Raw genomic sequence first — 18,507 nt, forward strand, 5'->3', positions numbered from 1 at the left:
TTCTCTTTGAAGGTAAAAGCCTCTAAGTCCTGTTATTGATCTAAACTCACACAAAAAAAAAAAAAACTGAAAGTAAGGTTTAAAAGACCACCATGACAATATTTATCCAATTTGTGACTGTATTTCTGATTGGCAATTCAAAATTTTGTTTGGCTTAGTAATTTTTCTTGCTATCTTGAATAGAATTAATCCCAGAAGGTCTGGTAGACAATGAGTGTTTTGGTGTAACTGGGTTTCTTTATGTACAAAGCTACAGAATTCCCCTTGAAGACACTGGCCTTGACATCCCTGAAATAGCAAAATAGACTTTTTTGTTTACTCCACGTGTAGTATATGACAGTTAGTGCATTGTAGATAGGGCCATCTATTGAAATCTACATGTGATTATACTCTATCGAACATCTACTTTAAAACAGCAAACATGAGAGCCTACAATTGACATCTCACTGTTTAAAAAAAACAATTTCACATATATATTCACAAACATACTAAAGTGGTCAATATTCAAAGTAAAGACTCAGATATTCCTCACTTTGCACCATGGTTTAGTTAAATAATACAAGTACCCCAACAACACAGTTTAAATTTCAGTTACCATGGTATATTGACTGTGATATTAAATAAAGTACAAATTTCACTGCTAGGTTTTCAGTATGTAAATTACTATATAACTAACAGATGTGCATCATGATCAATTATGAATCACATCACTTCTTTCACAGTCTTTGGTGACTGGTCACTTATCAGCTATTCAGTACATGTGCAGAGAACAAACCATGTGTTTGTGTTGCCTCTTTGTCTGCCAGTGATAAACCCAAGTGACATTTAACAAAAACATATAATGAAAGAGGGAATTGGCCAATAAAAATGAAAGCTCAAGAAAGAAACTAAAGTCACAATGCTGGAAATGAAATTCAAATCAAAGGTAAATGAAGTTATAGAGGAAACAGCTGACTGTGGGAATGTTGACACTTTCACTGGTTGGAAAGGCTATATAGATATGAAGCCAAAGGAACTTAGTTAAAGCAGACATTGACATAAATGAGGAATTTGGTTGTGACAAGCAATGCCTATTTTAGACCAATGGCTTGTATCCTCATTAGGGACTGTCAGTATACCAAAAGAATGGGTGTTAAGTCTAGGAAAATTATAATCATCATTAAGTTGACTTTTAGTTCCCAAGATTTCCTATAATTACTGTTTTCAGTATTTAGATATTACTGCTAATGGTAAAATGGCCTATGAGTAGAAAATATGAAATTTACATTTCTCTTTATCCAAATTTCCTAGTGGAACCCTGCCCCTAACAATGTTTACCACTTCTTACTGTCCATTTTCACAGATATGGGGGACATGATTACATGCCCTCAACCCATATGTTTTCTAGGTAACTCTACCACAGAATAAAGCGGTACTCAAATTACTCTCAGCTTGCTTAATATCCACTTTAGGACACTGAAAAACAAACACAAAGGGACTAAACAAGATGAACAGTACGTATCCCATTTCTTTTAAGTCCACTATCTTGATATCATGAGGCCCCCTCACTGGTTTTATGTAGATGGGCTACTGGAATGCATAAGCTAGTGCCAATTCTTATTTTCCAAAGATGTTAAAAGATTAACATAGGATGGGAGGAGAGTGAGGATCAAAAAATCTACCTATCAGGTACTATGCTCACTACCAGTGTAATGAAATCATTTGTACATCAAAGCCCATGACACACAATTTACCCATGGAAATTTACCCATTGGCTTTTGCTGCAAAAGTACCCCTTGAACCTAAAATAAAAGTTGGAAGAAAAAAACTTAACATAGCAAATTCTTAGACATTGTTCTGACTTGTTTGCAAGACCTATGCTTTCTTCCTAAGCTGGTGCTGGATAGTTCTTTTGACTTTTTTCATTATTGATCTTCTCTCTCCCTAGCATTGCCACCAAGGGAAACTATTTCATGTAAGACATTCTTTTCCATCCAGCCATCTGGTTGGCCCTAATTTCTCTGAGCACATCTTTCCCACCTGTATTGTGAACCATAGAGCAGGCCTAAGGGAAGGTTATAAAGAAGGTAAGGTTGGTCTGTATTGTCTCAGTCTCTTTTAATATCTATTCCCTTCTGTATGGTACTCCTTCTTCTCAGAGACTCCTGTTCTCTAGCTTCTTCATAATCGGCTTTCAAAATAGGATCTGCTGTCAGCGATTTATCCCTTTAGTGCTAGGATGGTAAATAAATTTTATCTTGCATGCCAACTCTAAATTATTAGTAGCAGCCACCTGAAATGCTACGTGAAGGATTCTGGGGATGCATCCAGTTGAATTAGTTATGAGAAGAAAAATTGGCTACTATAGGAAAGAGAATCAACAATTCAATGGATTAAACAAAAAGAGTGTTAATTATTTCTTACATGACAGTATCAATGTAAAAAGTTCAAATCAGAGAGGGAATTCTGTTTCTTAGTCATTCAGGGACTTGATTTCCTTCCAAGTCATTGTACTTTCATCTCATAGGGAATCACTCCCATCTGTATACTGAAACTGGGTAGCCATTACATCTGAGTTGCAGCTGGTGGGAGAAAGTATGGAAAGGAGAGCATACCCTATGTCTTAGGACCCAGGCATGGAAATGGCATACATCACTTCTACTCACATTTTATTGATCATAACAATCATTTGGCTGCACAGAACTGCAAAAGAAGCTGAAAAATGTACCCTAGCTGGGCAGCCACACATCAAGCAAGAATGGGAGAATGTATTTTGGTGGGCAACGAGCATTTTTGTCCCTTACTAGGCTTAACAGGAATCAATGCTATGATTAATTAATGAAATTTTCCACGAGTTGGAAAAAAACTGTGGCATCCACCCATATTATGGTATTAGCTGATCTTGCCTTAAGTGTGAAATGGAAGTCTTGTTTTCTTTCCTAGAGGGTCCTGAAGTTTAAATATAATTCCAAAAAATTTGACAGGCATTTTCCACTATGAGAAAGGTACTTTTGTTAGGTACAAAAATAAACTTGTCCCTGCTTTATCACTTAATGTAGAATCAAAGATTCGTCTCCAGATAACAGAATTTCAGACATCAGCTACCAAGGAGGGAAAATATAGGCTTGGGAAAGAAGGCCTTCTTGTATGAAATCACACCACACAGGCACTAGACAGCTCTACTTATATAAAGTTTAGCTCTATAAAAATGAGATTGGGGTGTTTCAGAGATTTTATTAGGAAATGTACAGAGAAAACAGTTGATGGGGCAAAAGCTATAAACACTAAGGTGAGAAGGAATCAGAATATAGGCAAGAGTTATAGAAGCATCTAAATGGCATTTGTATCTGTTTAATCAGCCTATCAGGTAAATCTGCCCACTTTTCTCCCTACCAGTGAACATCTGTTTTGAACCTCTAGGATATGGGACCTCTTGCTTGATACCAGTCTTTCTGTGCCTACCTATTCTAAAGCCTGATGTCATCTTCTGTGCCTTCCCTTATAGGCTTACTTCCTTCAACGCTGACCATTCCTCCAGCATTTCTTATTCTAAAGAGGAACAGGTAAGAAACTTCGTTGGAGGGAAAATTAAGCAAGGATTGGCATTAGAGAGGGAGCTGTGCACAGTCCCTGTCTCAACAAAAATAGCTTAAGATGAGACAAGTACTTTACTTAGCATAATCTTGCTACTGAAGGGGCTATTCTAAATGTCCCCCCGCCCAACACCATTATGTAAACATTCTCTAATATTCGCTACTTAATTTAGATTATCCACCCTTCCTTCTGGCCATTGCATTCCTTATCTAGCAATGCAGGAAAAGGGCAAGAAATCAAAGGGAAGGAATAAAGGGACTTCTGTTTCCAGACTGTATTTTAAAGGGAAGTCATGGTTGGTTAGCGATTTTCTTTAGCTTTTGCTTTGCGTTTGCAGAATAGCTAATATTATTGTTTTACCTATGGGAACTGGTATCCAATCTAGTGCCCAATGGGGCTGTTGTTACTAGAGCTATTTTCTGTGAACCTCATAGCAGACTCTCTTCTGCTGAAAATGAGATTTACTATTCATTCTGGGTTCTCTCAAAAGCCAGCCTGCCATCTACAATTAGCGGTCACATCCATTTGGCTATAGTTCAGGTAAGTCCAATTCTTCATGTCCTGCTTCTCAGCTCTCTGCTGCTCAGAGCCAAAAACCTTATCTTAGAACCCCAAAATACATGTCTAGTTGCTGTATCAAAGACCAGGTAGCAGCCTTTACAGAAAGTCCCTTTTCTCAGAATCTAGTTGAGCCAATACTATGCAGTGTCCACTATATTCTTCTTGGTTCATTCTCTTTCTTTTGGAGGCAACAGCTTACTATGGTGAGGACAACTGGAATCCATCTCTACCTATTCACCACTTTTTAAGTAGTAAAATTGGTAGCTCAAAAGTAACTTTATTCCCTGCTAAGTCTTGCTCTTTCCAATTATTATTCAAACATGAGAGGTGACAGTGAGAAGATTGGTTTGGCATTATAGGATGGTACCATGCAAGGTACTCTAACAACCGGCCTTCTGTCTCATGGTCTATCTCCCTGCAGATTCAGGTTGCATCAGCTGTCCTCCTATGTCCACAATCCAAATGCTATGGGATACTATGGCAGACAAGTTTTCCAGTTCTTCAGGAAGTAGCAACTGTGAGTATTCTAGCTCACAATGGGAGGAGCACAACGACTGGACTCCAGCCATGAGCAAATACAAGTAAAGGTTTAACTGAGACTGTCTGCTCCCCAGTTCTCCAACCCCTGCCTACCCCAAGCCCCTTTTTGTCTTGATTTATAGTAGAAAAGTAATAGTCGGTCGGGCGCGGGGGCTCACACCTGTAATCCCACCACTTTGGAAGGACGAGGCAGGTGGATCACCCGAGGTCAGGAATTCTAGACCAGCCTGGCCAACATGGTGAAACCCCATCTCTACTAAAAATACAAGAAAAAAATTAGCTGGGTGTGGTGGCAGGCTCCTGTATTCCCAGCTACTCAGGGGGCCAAGGCAGGAGAATCATTTGAACCCAGGAGGCAGAGGTTGCAGTGAGCTGAGATTGCGCCATCACACTCCAGCCTGGGCAACAAGGGCGAGACGTCATTTCAAAAAAAAAGAAAAAGAAAAGTAATAGTCACAAAATGGATATAAAAAGAGAGGTAACAATGGGAAACTACAGGGGGGCAAATTAATACTTTTATAGTTTCAGCAGACCTGTAGTAACAGAAGAAAAACTGATTTTCACTTGGTTCAGACTATCTCCCTGGGCTAGAAAGTATAGGGCCAAGGTAGAGGAATCGGAGGTAGATGAATTATCTTCCTGTGTCTTCCTTTAAGTAGTTCACATTGCTCCCATTTAGGTACCAGTTAATAGTCATAATTACTATAATCCCTCTCTTTGGATATTCTCTAAGACTTTATTTCCTCGTGAGCATAAAGACATAAAATAGTACACTGGAGGTTAGCTATGATTAGGAAGAGCCATTCTAACTGTAAATTACTCATAATCCAAGCTCTTTCCTGATGAGCATGTATCCGTTATAAAAGAGGCTATGATAATATACAGTGAGAAAAGAATTTGTTTAGAAATTAAGTGAATTTGGATCTAGGGTCACCTCAGCTATTTTGCGCTGCGACATTGATCAAGTTATTTTCTCTGGGTTTCAGATGCCTCATCTTTATTTTGTGCATTTAGATACACAATTCTAATTGGCCCAATGGGAATTACACAGCTAACACCATCATGCAGCAAAACAAAATAAAATACAGTGGAACTGAAGTGAGGGAGTAAAACCACCACACTATGCAGATGAGACTATCTGCCTAGTAACAAGACATTTCTTGGACTCTGGTACTTCAGCCAAATGTCCTCTGGGAGTGGAGAGGCGGGGAGACAATATAGTCCACTGCCAGAAAGAACCCACATCTGTTCCACCACTCTCATTGTCATTGCGTTTCCTGGGATACTTTCAGAATAATTCATTAGTAACAACAACAACAACAACAAAAAAAAAAAACAGCAAGGAAAAGGCTACAAGGGGAAGGGTTTTTCTAGGTCTTTGGGATATATCTAATCATTTCTTCACGGAATATTATAAAGTAGGGTCCACTCAAAGCTCATCCCTCACAAGCCACTCAACCTTTGACATTCTTCTTCTATTTAATGTGAGTCAGAATTCCTAAGATTTTTTGAAATCCTGCCTGCAAAGTCTGCTTATGAATTTTTTTCCTTACCACGGAGTTCCCATAAAGTGACAGGTTCTGCCTAAGTAGTTAGCTACCTGCAAGGCTGCTCGAATCCAACTTTCTTTCCCACTCTACTTTGCATTCTGCTCTCCCTTTGCTCTCCTCTCCTTAGGCCCTCAAGTGATGCCAGCTTTTGTTCTAGCACTCTAGAAAGGAGTTACTATTTTGATCCAGAGTACACAGAGAAGAGAAACTGGAGTGGGTAAAAGGAAGCTCGTCACTGAGAATGCTGGTACTGGGAGCAAGACTGTGGCAAACCCAGGAAATACTAACAATAAGAACCCCTCAAAAGTTCACCTTTACCAAGCCAATGGAAACAATATAGCTGAGTGGGGTTTGAATTTTGAGAACTAATGACTCCTCAGCTACCATGTAATTGCCTTGGTGCTCCATTTGCTATAATTCATGGGAAAGGTACTAAGGTCCTTCAACTGGTTTTCCTTGCTACCTCCACCTTTTTCAGAAGTTGGACCTATGATTAGCACACTTCCTGCCTATCCATTCACAGTGAATAGAATGGCTGGCTAAATTTTAAACCCCATTTAAATTATTCCACTTCGAAATTTGAATGATAGATGCTTGCCTAAGTCTACTGGCCTCAGTAACATTACCTTTTCTCATGACCAAGGGTAAAAGAGTAAATTGATAGGAGGCACAAGTTTTTGTGGATGTGGGTTGGGCTGGCACCAAATCCAACTACAAGCATACAGTGACCACTTCATACACACCACATAAAAAATACAAAAACTGAAAAATACTATCAAATGCTTTGACATTTTCTAAATATTTCTGCTGCCCCTATAAAATTGCCTTGTCTGACCTTTCCTCACTAACCAGGAGATACGGTGTTTTTCATTTCCTCTCCCTTCAAATTTTACAAGAGAATCAAGGAATTTGAGGACCAAAGCACCACAAACACAAGAGTAAGCACAGCAAATATGACAAGGGGACTGAAGTAAGCCCCTATGGGAATAGGATCTGCTGAAGGAATCAAGAGGGATGGACAAAGGAACAGAAGACACTCAAGAATAACTTCAGGAAGTCTCCTTACCGCCTCACCTGCTTTCCCTCTGTCCTACACATCCAGCCTTGCAAAGAAATAAGAGTAAAGAGAAAAGTCCATGTAGCACCATCCCAGTTCAGAAGCAACCCCCAAGATATGGGTCAACTTTATCACCTCAAACTCTACTCATTTATAATGACAAAATTCAACTGTTAACACATAGGTAAGAGTTCTTCAGGCATCGGTTTTAAAGGTCCATGTACTGGGACGGGTGCGGCGGCTCACACCTGTAATCCTAGCACCTTGGGAGGCCAAGGCTGGTGGATCACCTGAGGTCAGGAGTTCAAGACTAGCCTGGCCAACATGGTGAAACCCAGTCTCTACTAAAATACAAAAGTTAGCCGGGCATGATGGCGGGTGCCTGTAATGCCAGCTGTTCTGGAGGCTGGGACGGGAGAATCACTTGAACCTGGGAGACAGTGGCTGCAGTGAGCCGAGATCACACCACTGCACTCCAGCCTGGGTGGCTGAGCAAGACACTGTCTAAAAAAAAAAAAAAAAAAGTTCATATACTGAATAACCATCTGGGCCCATAACAGCTTAAGACTTTCTGGAGAAAAAAAAAAAAACCAGTTTCCAGTTTAATTTCCAACAAAGCAGTAGGAACTCTTGCCTATAGAATACTGTGCTGGGGGCTGGGCACGGCGACTTATGCCCGTAATCCCAGCACTTTGGGAGGCCGAGGCGGGTGGATCATTTGAGGTCAGGAGTTAAGAGACTAGCCTGGCCAAAATGGTGAAACCCTCTCTCTACTAAATTAAATACAAAAATTAGCCTGCTGTCGTACTACACGCCTTTAATCCCAGCTATTCGGGAGGCTGAGGCACAATTGCTTGAACCTGGGTGGCAGAGGTTGCAGTGAGCCGATCACACCACCGCACTCCAGCCTGGAGACAGAGCGAGACTCTGTCTCAAAAAAAAAAAAAATACTGTGCTGGTTCATTTGCCTATAAAGTCACCAATCTAATGTTTGGGTATTTGATCATTCAGAATTCTAGAAACACTGAAGATCCCTTCACCTACTCAGGGTCTGGGCCTCTTTCATGAATGCTTAATTCCCACAGCCTTACAGTTTATACCCTTCTCCTCTCCCACTTTTGATCCTCAAGTTTTTTGCTTCTCACATTTTTTACTGGGTTTGTGCTTCTCAGTATCCTTGACCAAAGCAACTGATGCTGTAAGAAATGAGACTTCAAACCATTTACCCACACTGGGTGATTAAGGTAGTTTAAAAAAAGAAATGAGGCCAGGCACGGTGGCTCCCGCCTGTAATCCCAGAACTTTGGGAGGCCGAGGCAGGTGTTTCACTTTAAGTCAGGAGTTCGTGACCAGCCTGGCCAACATGGCAAAACCCCGTCTCTACTAAAAATACAACCATTAGCCAGGCATGGTGGCTCATGACTGTAATCCCAGCTACTGGTGAGGCTGAGGCAGGAGAATCGCTTGAACCCAGGAGGCAGAGGTTACAGTGAGCCAAGATGGCACCACTGCACTCCAGCCTGGGCAACAAAGCGAGACTCCATCTCCAAAAAATAAATTAATTTATTAATTTAAAAAGAAAAAGAAAAAAGAAATGAAGAACTTACGGTAATTAGTGTGGTTAGGGACAGTGAGTTAGAAATTGTCACATCAAAATACAAAGTTTTCAAAACAGTATATTTTATTTTACAATAGCAACCAACTCCCCAGTTTGTTTCAATTGTGACATCTAGATGGCTTAAGATTACTTTCTGGTGGTCACCCATGCTGAACAATATTTTTCAATCTTCCAAACAGCAAAGACTCAAAAGAGATTCTGCATTTCACATCAGTTCACAAGTTCAAGAGTCTTCCATTTATCTTAGCTTTTGGAATAAATTATCTTTGAGGTAGAAGGACAATGACGAAGCCACTTAATTCCTTGTGTCTGCATAAAAGCAGATTTATTCATCACAACTTCATTTATGTGAATAAAGCAGATGATGATAAAATGTTCTCTTATTCTTGTTTAATCAGTAGTGGTAGTGATGCCAGAAACTGTGAAAGGAAGGCTTTTAGTTACTTTCTTCTTTCCATTTTCCAATAATCCATTCCCCATCCCCAGCTGAAGAAAGGGGTGTTACTGAGTCCAGCTGATACCACACATTGAAAGGTAAACATTAATATTTCAAATCTGATGTCTAACTAAAAATGTACAGAATGAAAACTAGAAAATTTCAACCCCAGATTATCTTCAACCTTGCTCCCTCCACCAATCATACTTTGACATTTATCTATTTCCTTCTCCACTTATGGATGTAATTGGCTTGCTATAGAAACTACAGTTCAGATGCTTTGAATGTATGAACTACAATGAACAATAAAGTCCTCTTCTTTTGAAGCATATTTTGGCTTCAGCTTTAAGATAATCTTATGACAAGAAGGGTCACACTGATTCACTTAATAAATTCCATTCTTACCTAACACAAGGTTTAGTTGATAAGCACTTGGACAAAAATAATACTTTTCAAAAATGTAAAGCAAACTAGTGAGGACAAAGGATTTTGTCCTCATCTCAACAATGATCAGCTATTGGAACTGCATGAAACTGAACAATTTAAACCTGGAGCTGGTAATGTTCTTAAGACCAATTCAGAACAAAGGCAGGTTGCCCTTAAAACAGGTTTGACCTTTTCCTTCACTCTTCCTCCTGTCCCACCCTCTGTGAGTGATTTAAAAACGGAAAAGGTCAAAGCCCAGCCAGGCCTACATTTAGAGAAATTTTAAAAAAATTTTTCCTTTCAATTTTGGCCAATTATTTCCAATTTTTATTTTATTCTTAAAACTTAAGCATGGTAAAATGTTAAGCTGTTTTCATCCACTGATATTATTCTACTATAAAAAGCCCTTCTTGAGCAGATTTGATGATAAAAAGGAGAACATTTCTAAGGTATAATTAGAGAAGCTGTTGCATGAGAAATCATGTCTCCATCTCCATTTTGCTATGCGTTATCTGAGGATTGTTTCTGAAAGAGATCTATTTAGGCAGTGTATGTATGTGTCAGCATGTAAAAAGTAAAGAACTGAAAATAGACAAACCTTGTAAATGCACTTCAAAACCAATTGTGGCTCAAGTGTAGGTGGTTCCCCAAGGCTGGTACCAATGAGACTGGGGTTTGGGAATTAGTTGGTCATCATCCCTCCTGCTGCCCAGCAGTGGTCAGTCATTTTTCATGAGGGATGGACTAGGAAAATGAAGTGTCTATTATAAGGAGAGTTCCTGTAACTTAAGGAGCAAGCTCACTACAAAACCCAGCTACCTGCTTATCGTAGTGGCCAGAGTGGTAGAAGAGATACGGAGTAGGAATTAAACCACACAATGTTATTTAGGGACTAAGCCATGCCCCTAACAAGAAAACAAGCCAAAAGGAAAGTATTAGGCATTCTCTGGGAAGGCATGCATTTTTTTCCCATGTCTCTGGGGCCAAAAACCTTATACCAAGTACCTATTGGCACCCGAATATATTTGTAGAATGAATGAATACATGAAAAAAAATAAACAGTAACCTTTCTCCTATATTCTACTTTCCAAGCCAATTAATAAGCAAGTGTCTTTTCGTCATGATTTTTTTTGTTTTCTGTTTAGGATTTAACAAAATGGTTGAGATAACAGTCACTTCTGTTTGATGAAGAGTATCACTTCATTCCATTTTTGTGTTTTTGTTGCATCTCCAAGTCAGAATAAATGCCTTTTGGAGCAGATATATTTCATTTAGCATTTAGTATCATCTTCATCAATACTCGTATGAACGAAAAAATAAAAAGCCCTCTCTTATTCCCACTCTACAACGCATGTCAAAGGTGATCTGTTTAGTTTTTCCTTAGTATCGAACATATCACAGCTACTCAATGAAGTTTCTTCTCAACTAAAGAAACACAGTCTCTTAGAGAATTTGTTCCTGTGTTTCCACCATAAGATAAATGAGATAAAGTGCACTTTGGTTTACGTCTTTCAAGCACTTAAGAACAGCACTTTATTCAGTTTTAATAAATTTTTACTAAATTGGTAAATGCAAAAGAATCTTTTTTTTATTGCTCATATGTCTTCCTGTCTCTAAGCCAGACCAATGAGCAAATACCTTTAAAACTAGTTGTTACATCTTGAACCATTTAACTGTAATAAAAGCAGAATGTTTAGTTAATGAATTAAAGAACAAACCCTGAGCCCTTTTATCAGTCTCCTGGCTTTAAACTAAGCCAATGAGGAAGTGATTTGGGGGATTCCTGAAACTAGGAAAAATGTCTCTTTATTTTGAAAGAAACTTGCATTTTTCTTTCTTTTTTTTTTTTTTTTTAATCTCAAAGGCAATTGAGTGGGTCTTCTGGGCCAGACCTATTTAATTTACGAAACATAGTACCTTGCAGAGAATAGGCATTGAAATATTATTTAAACAATCAAACCAAAGATGTTCTTCTATCTTCAGCTGTCAGTGATCTAATGCCCTCATCTCTCTTATCCTCAGGACCCAGAATGGTATATTCCACATAAAAGATGCTTTGTTTATCAAATGAATCAAAAAGCACGCCTGAGGCATTTATTTTTACTCCTTTACTTCTGTAGGCCAGGTCAAGGTGGGTCTAATTCACTTTTATCATCAGCACTTAAGAAACTGGATGGAAGACCACAACACCTTGTTTTTTGCAAAAATTTTCCATCTCCTCAATCAGGCCAGGAAGCATGTATCTTCTGGACAGGACTTTATCTCTCTACTCAGCTTAGTACACTGCCTTATATTAGTCCATTTGTCCCATGTTTTCATCACTGAATAAACTTGTTAAATGACTTTTGGTCTGGATCTCACACCTATATTACTTCATTTCCTTCTGTGAGCACTCTATAATGATAACATCATTTTTATATCCTAGGGCATGTAGTTCCGAGCCCCACAGAAAGTAATCACCATTCAGTAAGCCAATAGTTCATTCCTATCTGTATAGAACTGTAGGCTTTGTAAATCTACACATAGATCTCTGTTGTAGGTTCAATAATGATAATAAATGTTTGTGCCCCCAGTTGTTATCTCTAAGGATAAGAGTAATCAATGATCATTCAGCAGATATAGCTTATATATGGGTGGCAGTTTACAAATTATAAATTGATTTTACACATATTTTCTTCTGCTACCCAAGACACAATAAAGATGGTTTATCTTTGCATCCCCAATGCCTAGCAATGAGATTGGCACACAATAGATAACTACTATAGTGGCATTCTTCAGACAACCAATCCCTTGCGTATGCGTATTCAAAAGATAATCATTGTTATTCAAATTTTCCTACTTTATTTGCACAATATAATAACTATCATACAATTTTATAAACCTAGTACCCAGCACCAAGTGAGAAAATCAACAGTTACATTTATATGGTGCCTTAGAGTTCACAAAATGCTAACATAGGTATTGCCTTATTTTTGGCTGTGGCTAAATGAAATATGATAAATTTTCAGTGCCTTTAACAGTGAGTTCACATAGTAGGCAATCAAAATTGATCTATTTAACAGGTATTTAAACCCTTGGTTTGTATAACTACTTATAGAACCCTTCTCACTGTGGTTTAACTATACAATGAGAATTTTGTAGAGACAATACCTAGCTTACAGAAAGTTTTATTCATACAGAAAGCATCAAATTTTTCATTTACAAGTGCTTTATAATTTAGAAAGCACATTCGCAAGCTGAATTAAGTGACTTTCGGTCTGGATCTCACATCTATTACTTCATTTCCTCATACTAGCTCTTTCCTGGTTACCTGGAAAAATGTATCAGTAATAATTTAACTTAACCTCACCAGTAAAGTCTTGATTGTTTAAAATTAAGCAATATATCATTCCTTACATCTGAATAGTATAGAGGATAAACTTTCCTCTTATTACATAGGAGAATTAATCTTGTATTTTACAGTACCCAAAATAGCTGGTATGTAAGAGGCACTTAATATTCATTCATCCATTCATTCATTCATAAATATGTAGCCCATTGACATTTGTATCATGCTTTAGTTTACAAAGCACTTTAATATGCACCTTTCTGAAATTTTTTGTTCTATGAGAATACTTTTCCCCCTTTGGTAGCTCTAGCACCCAGCATGGTATCTGGCACATTATAGGTGACCACAACAAGCTTAGTCCCTTATGTTTTCAGTATATTTTAAAGTTTAAAAGCAGTTTCCATGTGTTTTCGTTTCTGATACCTGGAATACTGCATTTTTACTCAAAATTACCAGAGCAGCAAACACAAATTGGCCTCAAATATACATATAATTTATTCATTTATCAAACAATTCCTTGTGTCTGCATAGTACTATATCCTTTTGAAAGAGCACTTTTTTATGCTTGCTCCTTTCTTTGTATCCACAACGCTTATCACAGTAGAATACAAGTGCTTTACAGTTTACAAAGCACATTCACTATTTTTTTTCAGGTCACCTAGATATCAATAATCATTGCATTTTTAGTGCCTAGCACAGGGACAGGCACAGAAAAGGAAACTAGTAGTATTCAGAAATTTTCTCTGAATAACAAATAATACATCAGGGGGTGGTAAGCTATGAACAGCAGGCCAAATCCAATTGGCTCAAAAACTAAGAATGATTTTGACCTTATAAAAACGTTGTTTAAAAAACAAATATGTAACAGAAACCATATGGCCCACAGTCTAAAGTATTTATGATTTGACCCCTTACAGAAAAACTGTGGACCCCTGATTTACATAATGCTTCACAATTTACACTGCACTTTCAAATGTTAACTGCATGATTGCCAATACACTAATTGGTTTTTCTCTTATGTTTTACAGTGCTTTCATACACATTATCAGTCATTTAAATCAACTTCCCACATAAACAGGAAGAAAAAAATCAAGGAAAGTATTAAACATGCTCAACAGTCCCAGGTTCTCTCATCTTTAAGCCTAGAGATGGGTATTAAACCCAGGAGTAGCGTTGGCACAGTCCACCAAATTATTTGGCCACTACTATGAGCAGGGAGTTCAGGCTGTCCCCTTGGGACCTCGCTTTGTCCCAGGCACAGTCACCCTTTCCATAACCATCACTAGAAATCCCAAACCCCAGAATCCTGCTCACCTAAGCTCAAAGAAGGAAGCTGTTGCTGGCAGGTGCTTCTCAGAAGTCTGGCACATCTGTGTATTTCTTGTCTAATTCTTCTCATTGGCCTGGAGCATCTCTTCACATTTTTCTCTAGAGAGCCTGGCACTTTTTTTTCCCCAACAACCTGACCATTTTATCTTCTCAGTCTAGGGCTTCTGGGGTCAAAAGAAAGGACTGAAATACAGTATCACCTATATGAATGTCTGCTCCTGAGGGAAGTTAACAAAAGCCAGATTAGATACTGACTGGATTTTGGTGTCTCTCTCAAGTGGAGAAGATGTGAATAGAAACAGAAGTTTACAAAACACTATAGCCTAACAAATAGGTAAAAGCTGTGATTTAAAGCTGGCTCAAGACTGGCCCAGGCATAATACTGTCAATCTAAAGGTAACCGGCAACATCAAAAAGTACATCTCAAAAGAATCAGGCTTAAAGATAAACAGGAGAACTGGAAATATCTAAGAGTAAGAAGTGTAAACAATAGAAAAGAGGTAGGGTTTAGGGTTCTCATCTTGGGATTTCCCCAGGTCTTCAAGCTTCTATCCTTCCTGGGTTCTGGGTCATGGGCCTCCAGATTCCGGCCGTTAGTCTTGAGATACCTTTTTCGCTTGGGTCCTCTATCCATCTAGGTAGGCTTTGTGACAGGGGCCTTCCATCCTTGGGTTGTAGGTCTTCCAGCTACAACCCTGGGCTAATCTTAGGTCGTTGGCCTTGTGTCACAAGTCTCAGTTCTTAGGCCTTCCATGTGTCCTGTCCCAGGTCTTAAGACTTCTAACTCAAGCCTTGAGACTTCCATCCAACTCAGGCCTTCGGTCCAATTCAGGCCACCCTCTGTTTTCTTGGCTCTTGAGGCTTTTGTTGGTTTCAGGCCTGAGGCTTCTATCTATCTTGGAACATGGGCTTTCCATCTTAGTCCTCGGGTCTCAAGTCTCAAACCATCTGTCTTATACTTTGGGCCTTCTATCCATATGAGCCTTCCACCTTCTGCCCTACTTGAGTTCTGGGTTTTACTGCAGTCTAGGGCCTTGTTTTGGTCTTGGATCATCTCACATGGCAGCCTGGCATAAGGAACCGCTCCACAATGCTTGCTCTGATAGCCGACGTTCTGCACCTATCAGGCAGGGGTTAGGAAGCCCCTCTGCCACACATGACACACACACACGTACACTTGCCCACATATGCAAAGAAATATTTAAGGAGAGATTACATGAAATCAAAGAGAGGGAGATAGATTCATGAAGAGGCTGAAATACTCAAAGGTGAGTAGAAAGGGAAGAAGCAGAGAACAAATACAAGCCAACAGAGATTAATACTGAAATAGAAAATCACAAACAGCAAGAGATGCTGAGGCACGCAGGGGAGGAGAGAGAGAATAGCCCAAGAGAGGCAGAAAGGAAATGCAGAAATGAGAAATGTGAGATAAAAAGTAGAAACAGCAGAAAGGAGGCCAGACTCAGAAAAAAGGTGAAATTTAAAACGAACGAGAAGGGGAAGGGGTAACAAATAATCACAGTTCACAAAGAGAAAAGAGAGGTAGGCAGAGAAAGGAGAGGTAGACAGAACAAGAAAAGGACAAAAAGCACACAGCATGTGACCCAAAAAGGAGACATGAAATAAAGCGTGAAAGAAGAGCCACATCTAGGAGAGCAAAGAGAAATAGCAACAAAATGAAAAATGAGAGATATGTCTAAGACAAGACACAGACCACTCTTGTGAACAAAAAGAGAAAATGAGGCAAAGGCACACACGAAAGAAATTAGCAAGAGAAACATGGAAATGGGTAAGACACACTTTAGATAGAGAACAAAGAGCAAAGACAAGAAAGAAAGAGACAAAGAAATACACACTTGAGTGCAAGAGATAAGCAAAGGCAGACATTCAGAGGAAGTAAGTAGTAGAAGAGGCAAGATACAGTGAGGGGCACAAGAGGCATGAAAAGCATCACAGAAAGATAAAAAAAATCAAAAAGTGTCATTAGTAATTATAATAAACTATTGTTACTACGAATACTACTTATAGTACTACAATAATAACAACCACCAATACCAACACAGATGCTCTTCTATTTATAAACTTTTACCTTAGGGATTTCTTACATAGAACCAAAGCATGCCAACTCTGCCTGCTACCTGATAGTGCTAGTGGTCACTTATATTGTGGGAAATGAACTTATGAGTCTTCTTGGGTTACCTTTTACTTGACATGTGCCAGGCACTGCAATAGGTGAGCACTTTACATACATGATTTCATTTAACCCTCACAAACAGAGAAGTCTAGAGACTTTAAGTTGTCAAAGGTCATATACCTAATGAGTAGCAGAGGATTTAAAACACACAATGTATGCCTCTTAACATCCTGTTACAACTATTTACTAGGATTTCTGGAAGAGCCAAATGGGATGTCACAGATGACTAAGTATTTTCATAAAAGGCTCTTTGATAGGACTTGCTCAATCCCCTCCTTTAGCATCACCTTTCCCCAACTCTTTAGAAAACTGACTTCATTCTCACACTTTTATAATGGCTACTTCAGAGTTTAGTTTTCTTTTTACACTAATCTTAACTGACGACAGAGTCTCTCACAAACGGAGATGAGAAAGGGTTACCCTTTCAGCAGAAAGCAGAAATGGTGTTTTAAGCTTCTCAACGTTTAAGGCTCTAAGAATGACAGAGGGCCTATACAGTGAAGACATAGAACACACAAGCAAAGGCTAAATTCTTCTGTGATACAACTGGTAAGAAGACCATAATGTCTTTGAGTTGCTTCAGTGAACCCAGTCAGTAATATGGAAGACTGGTCATCTTTCCATCTCACATTTAGCCCCACTTCACATTAGACCAACACACCCCATCCAACACCAGCTCCCAAAAAACAGCTGTTATAACAGTTCTGAAGTGATCCTCACAGGACTGCAACATCAACAACTTACTTCATTCAGCTATCCTCAAGTGCTAGAGTGCCAGGCATGTTGATCTTCAGGTGGGAAGGCTGACTTCCTTCAGTGTGTTCAAATTTCTTGGACCTGCTGAAGACTCAGCTCTCTGCACTGCTTGTAGGAAGTATAATGATTTGGCAGATAGGAACAATGAAGAGCTATAAAAAAACATGAGATAAACCATGTAAATGCCATAAATATTGAGTACTGTGCTAGAGTTACATAAGATTCAAATTAATAAGCAATAGAAAATGTTTCCACAGAACTTTGAAACCTATAAAGTCAAAACTTTTAGGTCTTTAGAGAGAAAATTTCCTCATTCAACAGAATAGGAAACTGGCATAAATGGGAAAATGTCTTGCCAAATATCACTTGATGAGTCACTAGAGACACCACTACCAGTCATAGCCTTATACCTTAGTTAAAGACCAGAACTGCCGGGCGCGGTGGCTCACGCCCATAATCCCAGCACTTTGGGAGGTTGAGGTGGGCGGATCACCTGAGGTCAGGAGTTTGAGACCAGCCTGACCAACATGGAGAAACACCGTCTCTATTAAAAATACAAAATTAGCCGGGCGTGGTGGTGCATGACTGTAATCCCAGCTACTTGGGAGGCTGAGGCAGGAGAATCGCTTGAACCCGGGAGGCAGAGGTTGCAGTGAGCTGAGATTGCACCATTGCACTCCAGCCTGGGCAACAAGAGCAAAACTCCATCTCAAAAAAAAAAAAAAAAAAAAAGACTTCCATCCTGTTTTAAGTGCCAATCAGCTAGGAAAGAGTCCCTTTAAATGATTAATAACTGAGATCACAAAAATAATAGATATGAGAGGGAAAAACATAAGGTCTTCCCAATGTTTAAGGCTCACTTCGATGTTTTAAGACCCCTCAAGTTTGCTTTAAGTCTCCTGGCTCAGGACTAACAAAACACAGCCTTAGAGCAGCATTTTCAAAACTCACAATATTGCTCTTTGAGATAAAGGTGAGTCACTCTGGAAGGCAAATATTCTCACAATAAGAAAATTCACATAGGTTGTTTAACATTGCAGCTAAAATACAAAAAAAAAGAAGAAGAAGAAGAAGAAAAAGAAAATTCACATAGACTACTGGCCCTAGGAGAATTTATCTAAAGATTATGAGTACAATAG

General features: G+C 39.0%; 1 long non-coding RNA gene and 1 other non-coding gene across 14 annotated transcripts in view; one reads left to right on the plus strand and one right to left on the minus strand.

Moving 5' to 3' along the window:
- Positions 1 to 17,520, plus strand: part of TSIX (TSIX transcript, XIST antisense RNA) — a 37,027-nt gene extending 19,507 nt beyond the window's left edge. The window contains exon 1 of the transcript NR_003255.2: positions 1 to 17,520. This exon is cut by the window's left edge and continues 19,507 nt beyond it. This is a non-coding gene — a non-coding RNA (TSIX transcript, XIST antisense RNA).
- The window catches only part of XIST (X inactive specific transcript), a 32,059-nt gene continuing 22,496 nt past the window's right edge, over positions 8,945 to 18,507 (minus strand). For 4 of the 13 annotated variants that reach the window (NR_190998.1, NR_191004.1, NR_190999.1 and 1 more), the window contains 3 exons: positions 17,357 to 17,520; positions 14,404 to 16,273; positions 8,945 to 9,318 (listed from right to left, as the gene is read on the minus strand). This is a non-coding gene — a long non-coding RNA (X inactive specific transcript). Of the gene's footprint in view, positions 16,274 to 17,356; positions 17,521 to 18,507 lie in introns of all 13 variants that reach the window. The other 9 variants (NR_191009.1, NR_190997.1, NR_191005.1 and 6 more) reach the window with 6 other exon arrangements.

This window comes from Homo sapiens, chromosome X (genome assembly GCF_000001405.40).
Source record: "Homo sapiens chromosome X, GRCh38.p14 Primary Assembly".
Lineage (NCBI taxonomy): Eukaryota > Metazoa > Chordata > Mammalia > Primates > Hominidae > Homo > Homo sapiens.